Genomic DNA, 18,191 nt, shown 5'->3' on the forward strand with positions numbered 1-18,191 from the left:
AACTCTGGGCAAGATAACACACCAAGTTATTAAAAGGCCACGGAGCATTTATAAAAGGCACGTATCAATAGAAATGTTGAATTACAAATTCAAACCCCTGTGACCTGCCTGGTGTTCCAGCTCAGTGGTTTTCCGATATCTATGCCAGAGCCACTGAGGCTGCACCTCAAATCAAGGCTGGCTGAGGTCACAAATCAGTGCAGGTGTCCAGAACTCCCGGCTTGGCAAGGGAAGCTCCTAAGATCACCATCCTGAAATTCTTAATTTTATCTTGGAATTCCTATTTCTGACGGGAAAGTGAAGAATGCACTAGGATGTGGGAGCCTTGTTTCACACTCAGGCCCCACCACCACAATCTCCCTGTTCCCTGGGAAGGGTTCTTCACTGCCTCCCGGTCCTGGTGCCCTGCCCTTGCCCCACCTCCCCCACCCCACCCCACAAGGGATCCTGCCCACTGCCTGGGGCATCAGTGAGCTCACTTAGGCTGGGGATGGGGCGGGGTGCAAGCTGTCATTCTCTCATCACTCTCTGCCTCCAGTGAGAACCTGTGCACAGACAAGGATGCTGGAAGGTTCAGGGGTGTCTCAGGGCAGGGCATGGTGGTCGCTGTCCCCATCCCTGGCTGGCAGCTGTCCTCATCTCCGGCTGGCAGTACCATGGCTGTTCAGTACACATCCAGGCAGGTGTGAGCCTCTGCCTACCCAACCCAGGTCCCAACCACTTCTCAGTGTTGAGATTGCGATCCCTTGAGAGTCTCCAGTCCTCTGTGAGTTAGGGCTGACTCCCATAACCTGGCTGGGCAGAGAACATCAATCTGGGGGCTGACAGAGAATGTCCTGTCCTGGAAGCTAGTGGGTAACACTGCAAAGTCACAAATAGGGGTCCCCAGGCACTTGTGAGAGTCCATACTGACCCTTGCAAATATCCCCATGCCTGAGGGAGTGCAATATCAAATAGCAAAAATTTTTAAAGCATAATAGGGAAAGAAACCAGAAAGAAAAGAAAGAGTTTAATATTTTGGAACCTTTAACAGCACTTTTGTCTAGCTTTTGAATAAGGTGCCTGCAATTTCATTTTGCACTACAGCCCACAAATTAAGCAGCTGGTCCTGCCTCAAGCTTAACCCAGGCCCTGGGACCTATCACATCCATATAGGACGTTAAGGATCCAAATGACTTGGTAATGCATGGAATAAGAAAGTAATCCTTGCTTGAATGTGTACTTTAATTTCTGCCCTACCTTGTACTCCAGAGTTATTGCTACATTCCTGTCTTGGTCTCTTTGCCTTACTTTCCAATTGGAGTTTTGCTCTAGAACAGGGGTCCCCATCCTCTGGGCCATGGAACCATGCTGGTCCGTGGTCTGCTAGGAACCAGGTCACAGAGCAGGAGGTGAGTAGCGGGCAAGTGAGCATTACCACCTGAGCTCCGCCTCCTGTCAGATCAGCATCAGCTATAGATTCTCACAGGAGCATGAACCCTATTGTGAACTGTGCCTGCGAGGGATCTAGGTTGAGCACTCCTTGTGAGAATCTAACTAATGCCTTATGACCCGAGGTGGAACAGTTTCATCCCGAAACCATCCCTGCTCCCATCCATGGAAAAATTGTCTTCCACGAAATGGGTCCCTAGTGCCAAAAAGGCTGGGGACCCCTGTTCTAGAACACCAATCCCTAAGATCTGCTACCTACATCTTTCTAAAGTTACCTGCTTGTCAAAATATTCATCCTCTCCTCCTATAGGAATCTCTCAGGCCTCATATCCTGGGCCAGTGGGCCCATCAAGGAGAGAGGAAAGAGCCAACGTCTGATAGTTGCCTACTCCGTAGCAGAGCTTCACCTAAGTTGAGTCCTCAATTCCACACTCTGTTCGTTGGAAACAATACTAGTCCCAGCTGTGACATAAAAAGATGGCATGTTCTATTTTAAGAGGCAGTTTCTTTGGTCTGGTTTCTTTGTATTGATTCTGTGTGGTCAGAAGTAACTAGGAATACTGTCTTCACCAAGAGACAACTTAGTAATTTGGGATTGTTTAACCCATTGAAGGGTAATTTGAAGAGTTTACACTATGTTGATAGGATTACCTGAAGGATGGTGGTATTTTTTCTTTTGATCACAAAAGGCAAAGCAGGCTGAGCATGGCGGCTCATGCCTGTAATCCCAGCACTTTGGGAGGCTGAGGTGGGTGGATCATCTGAGGTCAGGAGTTCAAGACCAGCATGGCCAGTATGGTGAAACCCTGTCTTTACTAAAAATACAAAAATTAGCTGGGTATGATGGCACATGCCTATAATCCCAGCTACTTGGGAGACTGAGGTAGGGGAATCACTTGAACCCAGAAGGTGGGGGTTTCAGTGAGCTGAGATTGTGCCACTGCACTCCAGCCTGGGCAACAGAGATTTTTGTCTCAAATAAATAAATAAATAAATAAATAAATAAAAGGCAAAGCAAAAGAAAATGAATTTAACTTTGAGCCAGGAGATATTTAATACAAGAAGAAAATTCCTAGGGCTGGAAATTATCTGATGGAAGAGGATACTGAGACCATAGACAAGGGGGCCTAGACTCCCATAATGGATTTGGGTTGGAATTCACTCACTAACTATGTGACCCTGACAACTTACCCTCTTTTTAGTGTCCAGTGCTAAAATGGAGACAATATTATCTACTTCATCATTTTGATTTGTGAAATCAGCCTGCACTCAGCATTTAGTAATTTTGTCTTGCATTTTAATTGGAAATGCCCTGGTACAGGATAAAGAGCATGGATTTTGGAATCTGGCAGTCTTGAGTCAGGATTCCATATCTGCCACAACAGAGTTACCTTCAGAGAGAGATTATTGCACCTTGGTTTTCTGTAAACAGGAGATAGGCCACCTATAACACATCTGTTTTGAATATTAAATGAGATAGCCATTAATAGATTAATGTATAAAGTGTCTGAAATGTATTAGCACTTAACAAACATTAATGCTCTCTCTTCCATCTAATCACATGCACACATGCCCACGCACACACACACACACATACACACACACACAAGTGGCTTTAATCAGTAACAGAAAGTGAAATGTTGATGAATCCTAGTTTTTTTTAATTGCAAAGTGTGTGAAAGCCAAGCATACTTGCAGAAACTGGAGATTGTTTTTATTTACTCAGAGACAATACTGACTTTAAAGAAAACAAAATATCTAAACTAACAATGGAAGCATAAACATCGCCCTCAATGATGGTCATTGTGGTGTCCCTGTCTTCAGACAGTGGCCACCTCTGTGCTTTAACCTGGACCAAAGCCTCTGAATTCTGCCGCCCTTAATGGTGACAGGCACCTGCAGGATAGCCTAAGTCCCCAACACCAGCATGGCCTCCAGGTTTTGGCGACAAGATTCCTCTCATCAGCATGTCTGCAACGCTCCTTTCTCTTAGGAGATATGTTGACTCATTATACCTATTTTTAATAAAAAGGCAAATTTAAGCCTTAATTTGTATTTTAAAATAAATTATTTTAAGGCATGGACCCACTAGGGAATTAGTTACAAATGGTTTTTAGTGGTACACATTTAATGAACATTTAACCAAAGAAAGAAAATTGCTGGTATGCATAATTTCTTTTTTTTAACCAGCTGAGTATATAAATCCAATCTGTCCTTTCTCTTTAACTACTTTTGCCATAAAACCACTTATTTTACGGCTGTGGTGACATAGCACGGCTGTTTCACTTTATGATTAATAAAGTAATTAGCACCAGTTCTAATATTCTTAGCAAAAAGGCTGGGCTTTAGATATTTCTGTTGCACTAATAGGTTTTCTAAAGCTACGTGGCGCACATGGAAGATGGCCTGCTGGGGCCTGCAGAATGCATTTTCTAATGTACATCGTCAAGATCAATTGATAAATTACGTCAGTCTGGGTTAGTCATCATACAGAAAATATCATTAGAGATGAAAAAGGAATGAAAGGATGTGGGCAGGGGTAATTTGGTTTTCATTGTTGATTTCTGTTATAGAACTATTCTTGTAGGCAATTACCAAAACACAAAATGCCAGGGAAAATAAAAAACTCTGGAAAAGAAGAGCCTATTAGAACAAGATATGTGGTAAACAGACAAGAATGATAGCTCTTTTGAAACAGTATCCCATGGAGTCCAACTGGGGAGCATATTTCTGACTCTGCACACAGTGTCTTTGGGGCCACGCCAAATGCAGAACTGGATCATGAGCTCCGTTACGTCCTTCCTTCTGAAATGTGTTTTCTTAGTGTGTCTTTGAGGACAATGCAGGGGTGCAGGTCACAGCAAAGGTGTGCTGGGAAGAGAGCCACCGTGGTCCGAGGAATTGCAGTGTTGATTCCTCTTGGAAACGTGAGGATGCTGAGCTCATTCACAAGGGAAACTCTGGGCCCTTTGTAGTTGCAAAACTAAAAATAAAAAATTGCATTTATGCATGGACATTGCTGAAAAACAAATCCCCTCTGTTTTCAGGGCTTGCTTTGGAAATCTATTGAAGCAATTTGATTCCTGGGACAGGATATAAATTTTCTTACCAGCCTTACAATCGTTGACCTCATTGCCCTTTCATAATTCATTCATTCATTCAATAAGCATTTACGCTATGTCAGGCCTGGGCTTGGCCTTGGGGAGACAACGATCCTTGCTTAGGGAGCCCATAGTGTCTCATAAATAATAGTTTGGGCTCTGGAGTTAGACAAACGTGTATCCAGGTGTCGCTACTTATTGGCTAAGTGACTTTGGATATGTTACTCACACAAGCCAGATCTCAAATGAGGACAATAAGTATACCTACCTCATAGGGTTGTTGTGAGGATTAAATGAGGTAATGCTAGCTAAGGGGCTGCAGAGAATATCACGCATTATGTGTGTTCAATTAAATAGAAGCTATCACTAGTATTAAGATCATGCTGCTGATTCAGGACTATGCAGAGACACACTTTGAGCTGCTTCTCTGGTGCTAGATATGAATTCATATAGAGTCATCTGAGCTTTCTCCTTGACGTCTCCTTGGGATCTATTGTGCATATCTGCAAATCGTTTTCTCTGATCAGAGAAAAATCAGCAATTGGTAGAGATTGAATAAGATGCCAATACTGATCAGCCCAGGACTCCATCAATCAAACTACCCAATCCAAACAAACCCTGTTAGGGATGCCGGATGCTTCCTCTCTCTTTCCTCCTCCCACTCCTCTTTCCCTCTTCTTTCTTTCCTCTCCTCTCCCTTCTCATTCTCACCTATCACCTAAATTCTCCTCACCCCCTCCTCTCTCCTCCCCACTGCCTGGTCATGTGGCATAACCTTAGATTCTGCTATAGTCTGAATATTTGCATCCCACCAAAATGCATAGGTTAAAAGCCTAATCCCCAATGTGATGACACTGGGAGGCGGAGTCTTCCGGGGGAATGATCAGGTCATGGATGGAGCCCTCATAAATAGGATTAGTGCCCTTATAAAAGAAGCCTGAAAGAGAGCTCTTGCCCTTCTACCATGTTGAGGACACAGCAAAAAGGTGCCATCCATGAACCAAAAAGTGGGCTTTCCCCAGACACTGAATCTGCCTCGGTCTTGGACTTCCCAGCCTCCAGAGCTGTGAGAAATCCATTTCTGCTGTTTATAAGGTACCCCGTCTGTGGCATTCTGTTATAGCAGTCCAAACAGACTGAAACAAATTTGTTTCCATTTTCCATAAGGAAAGCATGGCACCTCTCATGGTTCTGAACAATCCCCAACCCTCAGGAGCCAAACAGGAGTGAAACAAGAGTCAGTTGCTCAGAAGGAAAGTGAGTACAATTCACCAACACAAATTCCTCAGAGCTGGGAGGTGCATCAGAGACACTACCCAGCCCTTTGTCCTCAGGAGGGAAAGGTCTCATTTCCTTTCTCAGATTAATCTGGAGAGGTGGAGAAACCTGCCCAAAGCTGCACAGGTGTGGGGGGTGGAGGTGAGTTACAAGTCCAGCCTCCTCCTGAGGCCAGACTCTCCGGCCGTCCTGCAGCTCAATGGTGACAACCCACCCCTGGGTCACTGCTGCACCTGTCAGTCCTTAACTGCTGCTTTTCCTAGGGCTTGAGATGCTTTGCTTGAGATGCTTTTTCCCCCTGTAAATGGTCAGGCGCAGTGGCTCATGCCTGTAATCCCAGCACTTTGGGAGGCCGAAGCAGGTGGATTACCTGAGGTCAGAGTTTAAGACCAGCCTGGCCAACATGATGAAACTCCATCTCTACTAAAAATACAAAAATTAGCCAGGCATGGTAGCACATGCTTGTAGTCCCAGCTACTTGAGAGGCTGAGGCAGGAGAATCGCTTGAACCGACAAGGTGGAGGTTGCAGTGAGCCGAGATCGTGTCACTGCACTCCAGCCTGGGTGACAGCAAGAGTCCATCTCAAAAACAAACAAACAAAAAAATACTTGGGGATGCATTTGAACTTATCTGTGCTTTCTTTTGCCCCCAAAGGCACTATAGTCAACACCCAAATCCATTGTGTCTTCAGCCATCTCTCTTTCACTAGTTTCTAAAATGTTGTTGGTTCACGAGAGTCACCTAGTCATGGGGTGAATTGGTGCCCATCCCTGTGGTGAGATGCAGGGAGGTGGGGACTTCCAGGAGGCCCTGTTCAGGAGACTGACGGGAGGGCTGGACACCTGGCCTCCAGATCCCTGTGCCTGCTCACTGCCTTGGTCTGACCTGCAAGCAAAGTGGCTAGCCTGGTCGGGGGGCCAGCCCCAGCTCAGGGCCCACACAGCTGTGTGCTGGGGCTCAAATTACCCAACAGCCTTTTGAAATGCTCAAAGAAGCTCTCAATCACCATGCTTGTGCATCTGACTATCCCAGCTTTGCCCATAAACTCCCAACCAGACGCCTCTGTTCATCACTTGGTCTTGGCAAGAGAGGCCAAGTGGAATTCCAACAGTCACTGAGGAGCAGAGGGAGGCTTCCAGAAGGAGGTACATGACTAAATATTTTGGAAATTTCTCCTGCCAGTTTCTCTGTCTCCTCTACCACCCCTGTTTCAAGACATAGAGGACATCATCCTGTCACCCAAAGCAAGACCGCATTTTAAAATTAAACTTGAAACAAGTATATATTTCTGATCTTCAACTCACTCTCACCCAGCCAGAGCATTTACACTCCAGCCAAACCCTCCACACTACCTGCCTGCAGCATCTGTTTGGAGAGGGATCCTCTAGAAATTAAGAGGTTTAACCCCACACAGACACTCACTGTACCCCAACATGTGTGCACACGCACACACAAAATCCTTTGTCAGCCCAGCCAAAGGCTGGTCATCATGTCTTTGTGCCCAGAGTAAGAAACACAGCAGCTATTTCTACTAAAATCAAGAGACCGAGCAGACCCTTCCCCAGACACCTGGAGAGATGGCTGAATCTTACCTGGCCTCATCATCCCATAAAAGGGCAAGGGAAGCCATTCTGGCAGATTTTCTCTCCAAGCCTCATTGAATTCTGGCCTACCCCAGGGGCAGGAAGTCAGCGCTACCGCTGTGTGAGCAGCTGGTGTGGCCATCCATCAGCCTGCTGCCCCCTCTGACAACTCTCACACATGCCTGTGGTGCTGGAGGGTTCCATCAGGCAGGGACACCTATGCACCATCCCAAAAGAAGCATGAGGTCCCTAAAAGGTCATCAGAGCCAAGGCTAGTCTGCCTGACCAGCAGTGATGGCCTAAACCAACATCTTTTGACTCGTCCTGGGTGCAGGGCCGTGAGCAGCTCCCCCAGCCCCTGTGGGCCCCATAGAGGTCCCTCTTTCACCCTGTGCCCTCTCTGCCCTCCCCCTCTTCCAGTGGCCTATGTTCTTCTCCTCATACCATGCCAGGATGGTGGGCAAGGGGCTGTGCATGTCCAAAGGCTGTTGGTAGCTCCTGAGAAACTCGGCACTGTAAATGCCAGGGCTGAAAGCGCTCATCAGAGCATGGCATGCTGAGCTGATCTGGGTTGGGCAGCCCTCCACCCACACCCGGGCTGTGCTCCGCTCTCTCCTGCTGTGCCAGGACTGCAGCCTCAGGTCCTGCCAGTTGGCTCTGGGAGTGCAACCACAGAGAATAAGGTCCTGGAAATCCTCCCACCTCACCACCACTTACACACTCCACACACCCACACCACACAAACACACACACTGCACACACACCATGCACACACAACGCATACCATCCACACCACCCACACAACACACCACACACCCATATCACACATATACACCACATACACATACCCCACAACACACCACATGCACCACACACACCACATATACCGCACACCATGCACACACAACACACACTACCCACACCACCCACACAACACACTACACACCACATCACACACTTACACCACATATAGACACTGCACCACACACAACACACACATACACTACATACACTAATTGTACCACACACCACACACAGCACACAACCACACACCACACACCTACATCACACACAACCACATACCAACACCTACATCACACACAACCACACACCAACACCTACATCACAACTACACACACACTGCACCACTCACCACACACAACACACACACCACACACAACACACACACACACACCACATACACATCAAACACATACCACACATACACCACACACAGCACATACCACACACACAAAACACACCATACACATACCACACACATATTATACACAACACCACGTACCACACACACAAAACACACCATACACACACCACACACACATTATGCACAACACACCACATGTACCATACACACCACACATTCCACACACACACAATACACATGCCACAATACTACATACCACATCCCCACACACACACTTCATACACAGAGATACACACACCACACACCACTCACATCACACTCCACACACATGCACACACACACTCACACAAGAAAGGCCTTCTTTTCATTCTCCTTCAAGACCCGAGTCAGATGCTTGCCGCTCCTCTGCAGCCTTGCCTGTCCCTCTCAGTGCCTTAAGTCTCTTCCTCACCTTCGCTCCTATAACACTTCCTTTATACCTAAGCTTGCTACTCTCCCGAGAATATCTGAGATGGCTATAAGCTCCCTGAGGGCTGGGACCTGGACTTTCTCCTGTTTGTATTCCTTGTGAGCCTTACAGAGGCCTGCATAGTTCTACACTCAGTAAACATTTGTCAAATTAGAAACCAAAGACAATGTTCCCCCAAGAGAAATCTGGGCTCAACTCCATCTCCATAAATGATGCCAATTTTAGATGTGGGGGGGACATTAGTTTGCTAGGGCTGCCATGACATAGTACTACAGGCTGGGTGGCTTAAACAACAGAAATTTATTTCCTCACAGTTCTGAAGGCCGGGAAGTCCAAGATCGAGGTGTCAGCAGGGCTGGGCTCTTCAGGCCCATCTCTCCTTGGTTGGAAGATGGCCACCTTCTCCCTGAATCTTCCCATGGTCTTTCCTCTACATGTCTGTGTCCTAATCAGCTCTTCTTATAAAAACAACAGTCATATTGGATTGGGGCCCATAATAACAACCTCATTTTAACTGAATTACCTCTTTAAAGACCCCAGCTCCAAAACCAAGCACATCTTGAGGTACTAGGGGCCAGGACTTCCGCATATGAATTGGGGGACGTCAATTAGCAGCACTTACAACTTTCATGATGTCCTTCTAGGCACAGCCAACAGCTACTACCCCAAAGCCACCCATGGCTACAGCCTCTACTTGTCTCCTCAGGGCACGACTTCCTGTTCCTTGACAGAGGTTCTTGTCTGACCTTAATATTTTAAGATAAATTTTCCAATCTCCACAGCAGTTTTTGTCTTCTGGAGAGTGAATTCTGTGGTGAATCCTGTGGTCAACAGCTCACCATGAGGTTCACCCATGGTCAGCAGGTAGACGAGTGTGGCAGACATGCTTCGCCCTATTTCTGGGTCCATTTTCACTCTTCCCTTCTGCCTTTTTGCCTTCATTTGCTCGACTTTGAATTTATGTTAGTCAAATGTTATGCATCGTAATAAGCTGTCTGGGAATGCTTTCTGGAATAAAGAAGAGTATAATGTATGCTGTCAAATTTCTGTTGGTCAAATTTGATGCATCGTTATAAGATCCCTGGAATGCCTTCTAGAATAAAGAAGAGTATAATGTGTGCTGTTGTCAGCAGGCACCACTACCTCTCCCTTCTAAGAATGGGAACTGTGCTTCCCAAGACCCCCTTCTGTATATGTTTGCTTTTTTTTAATGAGAGGAACTTGTATGATATTTGGAAGGCTGAAAGGAAGTGGAAGCCATCAGTCTTCAGAGATGGTTGCAGCTGGATGTGTGGACAGATGAGAGATTCCCTGCGGATTCCTGGCAAGCCCCTCATCATTGCAGGCTGAGACGGTTGGTGTTGGGGGCTCCTCGGGAATCTCAAGAATTCTAGGCAAGCTTTTAAAAACCAGCTGCTTTGGGGCTGCAGGCTGAGATTTCAGGGTAACTCCTTTGACTTTCAGGGACAATTCCCCAAATGCTGGCAGCAGCTTCTCTCATCTGCAGTCTCCTAAGTCTTCTAACTTGTGTATAAGCTCCTGCTTGACTTTTAAACCCTTTATGTGCAGAACATACAGTGGCTTCTGTGTTCCTCACCAAATCCTGTCTGATACCTACGTAAGTCATAAAAATAAGCTACCATACCCTTGTACACTGATGGTGGGAATGTCAAATGGCACAGCCACTGTGAAAAACACTTTGATGATTCCTGAAAAAGTTAAACATAGATTTACCATATGATCCAACATTCCACTTATAGGTATATGCCCCAAAGAATTAAAAGCAGGAACTCAAACGAATACTTGTATGCCAATGTTCATAGCAGCACCGTTCACAATAGGTGGAAACAACCCAAGTGTCCTTCCACAGATAAATAGATAAATAAAATGTTGCACGTACATACAGATGACTTTATTCAGCCATTAAAAGGAATGGAATTCTGACACATGCTGCAACATGGGTGAACCTTGAAGACATTATGTTGAGTGAGAGAAGCCAGACACAAAGGGGAAAATATTATATGATTCCACTTACATGAAATATCCAGAACAGGCAAATTCATAGAGACAAGAAGTAGATTAAAGGGTACTAGGGTCTGGGGGAGGGGAGAATAGAGTGTTTTTACTGGGGACAGAGTTTCTATTTGAGATGATGAAAAAGTTTTGGAGAAAGATAGTGCTAAGGGTTGTACAACATTGTGAATGTACTTAATGCCACTGAATTGTGCACTTAAAACAGGTTGAAGTGGTAAATTTTATGTTATGTTTATTTTACCACAATAAAAAATGCATGTTTAAAAAATCCATTGCGGCGGCAGCAGAATTCTAGACGTCACCTGGGTATATTCAGCCCATTTTATTATAAGTAGCCAATGTGTATAGACTGAGGACACACAGTACATACAGGTTACCAAGCACATGTCTCCAGAGAGAGAGACAGAGTCCCATCTCAACCAGCTGTAGGGAAAAATCCTACTGAGATGATGGTGTTTATTCTTCCATCCTAGTCCTCAAATCTAACCAACGCCCAGAGTAAGCTTTCCTTCCCTGATTCAAAATTTCTTTTCTAGATAACTGAGCCTCCTTTTCTCTTTAGTACACCCTATCTTAGCCCCCACACCGTTTACCTGTCTCTAACCTGCCTCAATCCCTAGTCCAGCATGAGTGGTTTCCCAAGAACCTTTCGATCCCTGGGTTTCTAAGACTGAAACCCTTGTGTTTTTTTTTTTTTTTGACTAATATTCAGCCTCCCATATAGACATTTACCTTCCTCTTTAGACTACTATGTTCTCATTTCCAAAGCCATTGGCCTACACATAGAGGAACTGCCATAGTTTATTAATGAGCCAAGTCACAGAGTATGTGTGTGTGTGTGTGTGTGTGTGAGAGAGAGAGACAGAGAGAGAGAGAGCGCTCACCCCAGCCCACATAGTTCATTATCCCAATAAAGCAAAGCTACTATACTTTGACATATACTTTTGTATAGCTGCTCTTCACTACATCACTTTGCTCAGGACCATGGCCCAAGACAACCTGGTTTCAATTCTACAAGGTTTACATCCAGCCAGTGTATTTTCATAACCCTTTAAGGGAGTATTCTCCATGTGTGTAAGTGAATCTTACCCCCTTTGTTTCAGTCCCAATCTAGATTACCATATATGTTTGCTTCTTTTAAAGAGAATTAAACTCTAAACTGTGTTGGTGATGGCTAAGTCCTTATTTGAATTTAGGGTTATATGAAAACCACCTTGGCATCAGGAGCCCTTGACTTTCTTGATTTTCTACTGACCTGCTTTGGGAATTGAATGTATTATTTCTCTAAGCCTGAGATTCTTCTGTGTTAAAAAAAAAAAAAAAAGAAGAAGAAGGAAGTGGGATTTGAACTGGTGAGTTATTAGGTTCTTTGCAGTTCTAGGAGCTTTTTATATGGTCAAAGCAAATCCTAGATTTTCCCTGTTGCGGAAGCCCCTCTGTTTCAGGTGCACAGCAGGCACAACAAACAGTGTCAGGGCAAGACAAGAGCCACAGAGAAGGTTCCAGGCACAGAGAGGTCATGTGACCTCAGCTGAGTCCTCAAACTGATTCAGATGTCACAGCTTCTCCCATAGACCACATTGCCTTTTTTCTGCCCACCTGGTTGGCTCACCTCAAGTATTTTCAGTCTTATTAACACGTAGCCTGCTATCATTACATAATTTTGTGATGGGACATCTCTCTAGCTCGTATACAGAATCTGTAATTTACAAAACAGCCTAATTACAAGATCCTCCATAGAAACATACTCTGGTGAAAACACTCACCTCTGGCCTAATTGTACAACAATTGTATAACAGGAGAAGAGTCTTTGTAGGATGGAGCTACTGGTGGGCCTGGCCTCACCCGGGTGCTAGACCTCATCCTAAGTAGATTCCTTCTCTCTTACCCTCTCCACCATCCTCTCTTTAATAGCAAAAACTCTGCCCCATGTAGCCTCTGTGCTAAATTACCTCCCAAACTTAAATGCCATTCAAAATCCTATTTTCCTCTTAGGAGAAGACGTATTATCTATTTCCCTTCTCTCTAAGAACGTCTGGCCTGTATACAGATTGTCTTCCTGGGTAATGCATTCCTGCACTCCCAGCTGGCTGGCTTTTAATCTGGACCCTATCAAAATATATAGCATTTGGGGCTGTGTTTTCTATGGCTATACGAGTTCCTGGATTTCCATCCAAAATGCCTACCCCAGCTCATTTACACAATGCAAAGGCAACAGGATATTTCGCAATGAAATCATTCTCACATCTGTCTTTGGGGTTGTAAAGTACTTTGCAAAATCTTTTAGAGCCCCTTCTTCCCTTATCCTCACTGGTGGAGAAACCGTGTGGTTCACACCTGAGTGTGAGCTGCTCACAGCTATGATTGGACCCTGGACCTGGACTTTTAGTCTCAGGTACCCCCCCACCGCACTGTGAAAACAGGCTGGCCACTTAGGATCTCAGTTCTTCATCTTTAAAGCAACAGATAAGCCTAAACCATCTCCATGGCCCCTGCATTAGGTTAAAAATAAGTCTGGCTGCTGAAATAGACCCAAGACGACAATGCTTGACCATTGTCTCACACACAAAAGCTGAAGCTGGGTTTAATGGCTCTGCTCCATGATGTCTCGGTGGGGCTCAGGTATCAGGCACCTGTTATTTTGCTCTGTCATCCTAGAGGTTTGGTCTTGTCCTCTGGAGTGGGGAATTGTCATCTGAGACCAAGAGGTTTGGTCTTGTCCTCTGGAATGGGGAAAAAGGAAGCAGAAGCCACACTCTGTCTTTTTAGGGAAATTATACTAGTGCCTCGGAACTTGGACACATGGCTACAATTGCCTCCCAGGTGTCTGGGAGACTATGTGACCAGATAAAAACTCTATTACCAAATAAGAAGAAGAGATTGAATACTGGGGCCACCTAGGATTGTTGGCCACAGACCTTCTCAGTTGTACCATTCTGAGTCTATGAGATCATGGGTGAGGGTGGGGCAGGGGACATGAGAATCACAGCAGAAGCAGACACTGTAGGAGTCTCCAGGGACAGTGACTGCAACTGCCACACTTGCATGTGCAAGATAATTCAAAGTTCAAAAGAGAATGTGCCTAATGTTTTTTCAGAGACAGGGTCTCACTCTGTTACTCAGGCTGAAATGCAGTGGTGTGATCATAGCTCCCTGCAGCCTCAAACTCCTGGGCTCAAGTGGTCCTCCTACCTCAGCCTCCCAAAGTGGTTGGATAACAGGCATGGGCCACCTTATCAGGCTTGTGCATAATTTTATTTAAATCAACATACACATTTAGCTTCTACCACCTGTATATAGATTGTCTTCCTGGGTAATGCATTCCTGCACTCCCAGCTGGCTGACTCTTAATCTGGATGCTATCAAAATATATGGCATTTGGGGCAGTGTTTTCTATGGCTGTGCTAGTTCCTGAATTTTCATCCAAACTGCCCACCCCAGCTCATTTACACAATGCAAAGGCAACAGGATATCTTGCAATGAAATCGTTCTCACATCTGTCTTCAGGGTTGTAAAGTAATTTGCAAGATCAAAATGAAGTTTACAAGTTAATTTCAACAAATATTTGTTGGCACCTACTGTGTACCAGGCACCAGAAACACAAAAATGAATATGACCCATCCATGCCTTCCCTCAAGGCACCTGTATGCTAGTGAGGAAATAGAGCCCAAATATGAAAGTTCCCCATCACACCATAAGTGCTTTTGTAAAGGTGAACTCTGGTGATGCACTCTCTGATAGAGGAGAGAAAACTAAAAATCTGAGAGAACTATTGAGTAACACAAGCAGAAACAACCAGGTCCTAAAATATGTGCTAAGGACGATGGCATTCTAGTAGTGTTGATCAGGAAGGATATAGATTTCTGCAGGTTCAACATGAAAGGCAGGCCTTATTTGAGGGAGTCGATCTTAAAAGCTGAGCAGAAATGCAGTGGTGGAAGGGGAAGGTGGTAAAACATCATAAAGATTTTGTCTGAAATGTTTAAATGAAGGCATCTAGAGATTCCTGTGTCAGACAGAGTTGAAGAAAAGAGACACCTTCTTGAGTTTTAACCCTTACTGCAGAAGGTCAAGAAAAGCTCTTTAAATGTCTTTCATGGTCCACTTGTAAAAGTTCTCAGCATTCCTTATAGGTTTTTATAGGTTCATAATAACTCCATAAAGAAGGGAAGAAACGAGAGAGAACCTGGAGCTCAGAGATGTTAGGGAAGCTGGCCTGGGTACACCTTCCATAAGAGCACAGCCCTGACTCAGGCATTCTGGCCTCAGATCTTGTGTTTCTTGCAATGGGCCTGACTACTCTTGAAAAAGGAAAAATCAAAATTCAAGCTGGGCTTGGTAGCTCACACTTGTAATCCCACACTTTGAGAGGCCAAGGCAGGAAGATCGCTTGAGGCCAAAAGCTTGAGACCAGCCTAGGAAATAAAGCAAGACCCCTGTCCCTACAAAAAATAAAAATAAGAATTAGCTGGGCAAGGTGGTGCACACCTGTAGCCCCAGCTATTCAGGAGGCTGAGGCAGGAGGATCACTCGAGCCTAGGAATTCAAGGCTGCAGGGAGCTATGATTGCGCCACTGCAATCTAACCTGGGTGACAGAGTAAGAACATGTCTCTAAAATAAATAAATAAATAAATTCACACAATCTGAGCAGAAGGAAGTGGATTCGGAGTGACCCAGCAGACAGAAGCCAGGGGCTTTAGGACAGGGACACCCAGCATGGTGACCTGCCTCTAATGGCTAATACTCCTTGGCTAGGAGGCTCAAGTCTTGAAGCTTAATCCTCAGAATGTCCAATTATATATTCCTCAGAGCCATCTTCAAGACTGAAAACAACCAAAGGAATCATACAAAGAAATTCTACACTTGAAGATTACTCCGTCCCTGGAAAGGAATTCTTTGGGAGATTGTCTAATTCTGGCAGAAAGTCTACAGCTTTGAGGGATGGTGAAATCTGCTGCGGGGCATACAGGACAGGATGCCCTCTTGAGACTTCAACCCTGTGATAATATGAGCCCATTGCCATACTGTTGCTAGGACAAGTGACCCTGCCCATTGTCACCCAGGCCATAGCACTCTCTGCCCACAAAGAGAACTAGTTCACAGGCCACTTTCTCTTTAATCGATGACAAAAAGCAGCGTGATAGGGCTGTGGGCAGAAATCCAATTTTAAAAGGATTTCAAAGGATGCAAATTGTTTCCTGGAGAAGGGCTAATGACAGCTAATAGGCCAGTCCTGGTTAACAGGCAGATGACCTGGCTGCAGTTTCCTATTTCTGTTGGCCATAATCACAATTCACATCTGCTATTTTCATCCTCCTCCCATATTATCGGCAGTGCAGCCACATTTTCACTCCTACTTCTCCCAAAGGACGTCAGCATGCCTATTTTACATAGGTATACAAAAGCATAAGCTTTCCTTTATCAGCCTAATGGGAAACAAACCTGCCCAGGTCTAAGCTTGTTATCCTACCTGATTGTTCCAATGTATATCCACCATCTAGTTTGGATTGTTCAAAAGCAAAGGAAATGGAGTTGCTTTAAATTTATGAACTGACGAGGTTCTGAGTAATGGTGAATCACAGCTCGATATTTCACTTAAACCTCAGACACGGAGCTGGCTCCTGCTGCAGCTCTTTCTGGGTCATACGAATTCATCAGAGAATTGCTCATGGCCCTCAGCCCCGAGCTAGGATGGAGAGCTGGATGAGGCCAAGGTCAGCCATGCCCAAGGAGAGAGGCTGCCATGCATCGGAAAGATGCTTCAGAGGACAAAGACATCAGCCCAAGTGTTGGGCAAGCAATGGAAGGCAGTGGGGGTGGATTTCTGAGAATATAGAAAAAGAGAATAAAAATTCTCGCTTGATTGTGTAGGAAATGGATGCAATAAAGGAGTCCAACAGCATGGACCCGGGTAGACATTGTCTTGGATTCACCTCGAAGTCCTATTCTTATCATCCTCATATTGTCTCACTCCCTGGACACTTTCCCCACCTAGAGCCCTGTGTATGCTTAGAAGACTCCAACTCATCTTTCAAGAACCTGCAGAATGTGACCTTTCTTGAGATCCCTGCCTCAATTTCCCCAGAACTATTTAGTTTGAATCCATTTTTACCATGATGCTTTATAAAGATTTGTTTTTATTTCTACCTCCCCCACTAGACAGTGATCATCTCAAAAGCAAGGATGGTTCTCATTCATCTTTATACCACCAATTATTGGCATAGTGCTTAACAAATGCCTTTTGGATAGAGAGCTCAGAGTGAATAAATAGAAAAGGGAAGGAAAAATGAAAAAAGGGACAAAGGGAGGAGGAAAAAACTGGGAGAGTTTCATTTTTCAGCTTAACAAGATTATTTCTTAAATCAGATGAGATGATTCAGGCTGGGTTGTACTAGCAGGGAGAAAAGGGTAATTACATTTTAAATCTGCTTTGAATACTATTGATAAGACTCTACATTTTATGGGCTTTACTGACAAGAAAAATTAAAAAAAACCTGGTAAAAGAGTCAAAGAACGAATTTAAAATGAGATGATCTTGTTGTAGATAATATGCTACCCTGCAACCTTAGCTGCCTGCCTGCTTGAAGATTCTCAGTCCTTTGCTTGTCCGTTCCAGTGAAGCAGGATAGAAAAGAACTGTGCAATTTTGCTCACCACTTTGATCCCTCGGGGTGCTGGGAGACTCCCCTATTGAAGGAATCTGAGGGATCCTGACAGGTTTCCAAACACCTACCTTGCTACTGTCAAGATGGGCCCAGACCCTCCTGGAGAGATGAAATGAGGCAATAGAGTGGTTTGGAAGACCATACTAAAACTCTTTTCAAGGGGTGGCATGTGGAATGCCACAGCCCCTCCAATTTGAGAGCTTTGTCCTTCTGTATGCCTGAATGAGTTTTCCTCTTCTCACATCCAATTGGAATGAGGGTGCTCCAGAAGGCATTTCTACTCACAAGTCCTGCCATAAACACAGAGATGGCTCTGCATTAGCTTCTAGAGATGCTAAGGAGAATAGAGACTTTCTACCACCTTGATGTGTAACCATGGAGCAAGGGTCCAACTTGAGAGGAAGTAAAAGTCACTGGCTCACCTTGAGATTCATGAGTGAGGGTTTGGGGATGTGATAGTTAA

The 18,191-nt window shown here is 44.9% G+C and overlaps 1 long non-coding RNA gene across 1 annotated transcript; it reads right to left on the reverse strand.

Annotated features, from left to right (window-relative positions):
* Window positions 1-3,125: 3,125 nt before the first annotated feature.
* LOC101929470 (uncharacterized) lies at window positions 3,126-16,626 on the reverse strand. Its single transcript, NR_125817.1, has 3 exons — window positions 16,534-16,626; window positions 9,552-10,036; window positions 3,126-4,414 (listed from the first exon to the last, which is right to left on the reverse strand). It is a non-coding gene; the product is annotated as an uncharacterized LOC101929470 (long non-coding RNA).
* Between the last annotated feature and the right edge of the window lie 1,565 nt (window positions 16,627-18,191).

Source organism: Homo sapiens, chromosome 8 (genome assembly GCF_000001405.40).
Source record: "Homo sapiens chromosome 8, GRCh38.p14 Primary Assembly".
Lineage (NCBI taxonomy): Eukaryota > Metazoa > Chordata > Mammalia > Primates > Hominidae > Homo > Homo sapiens.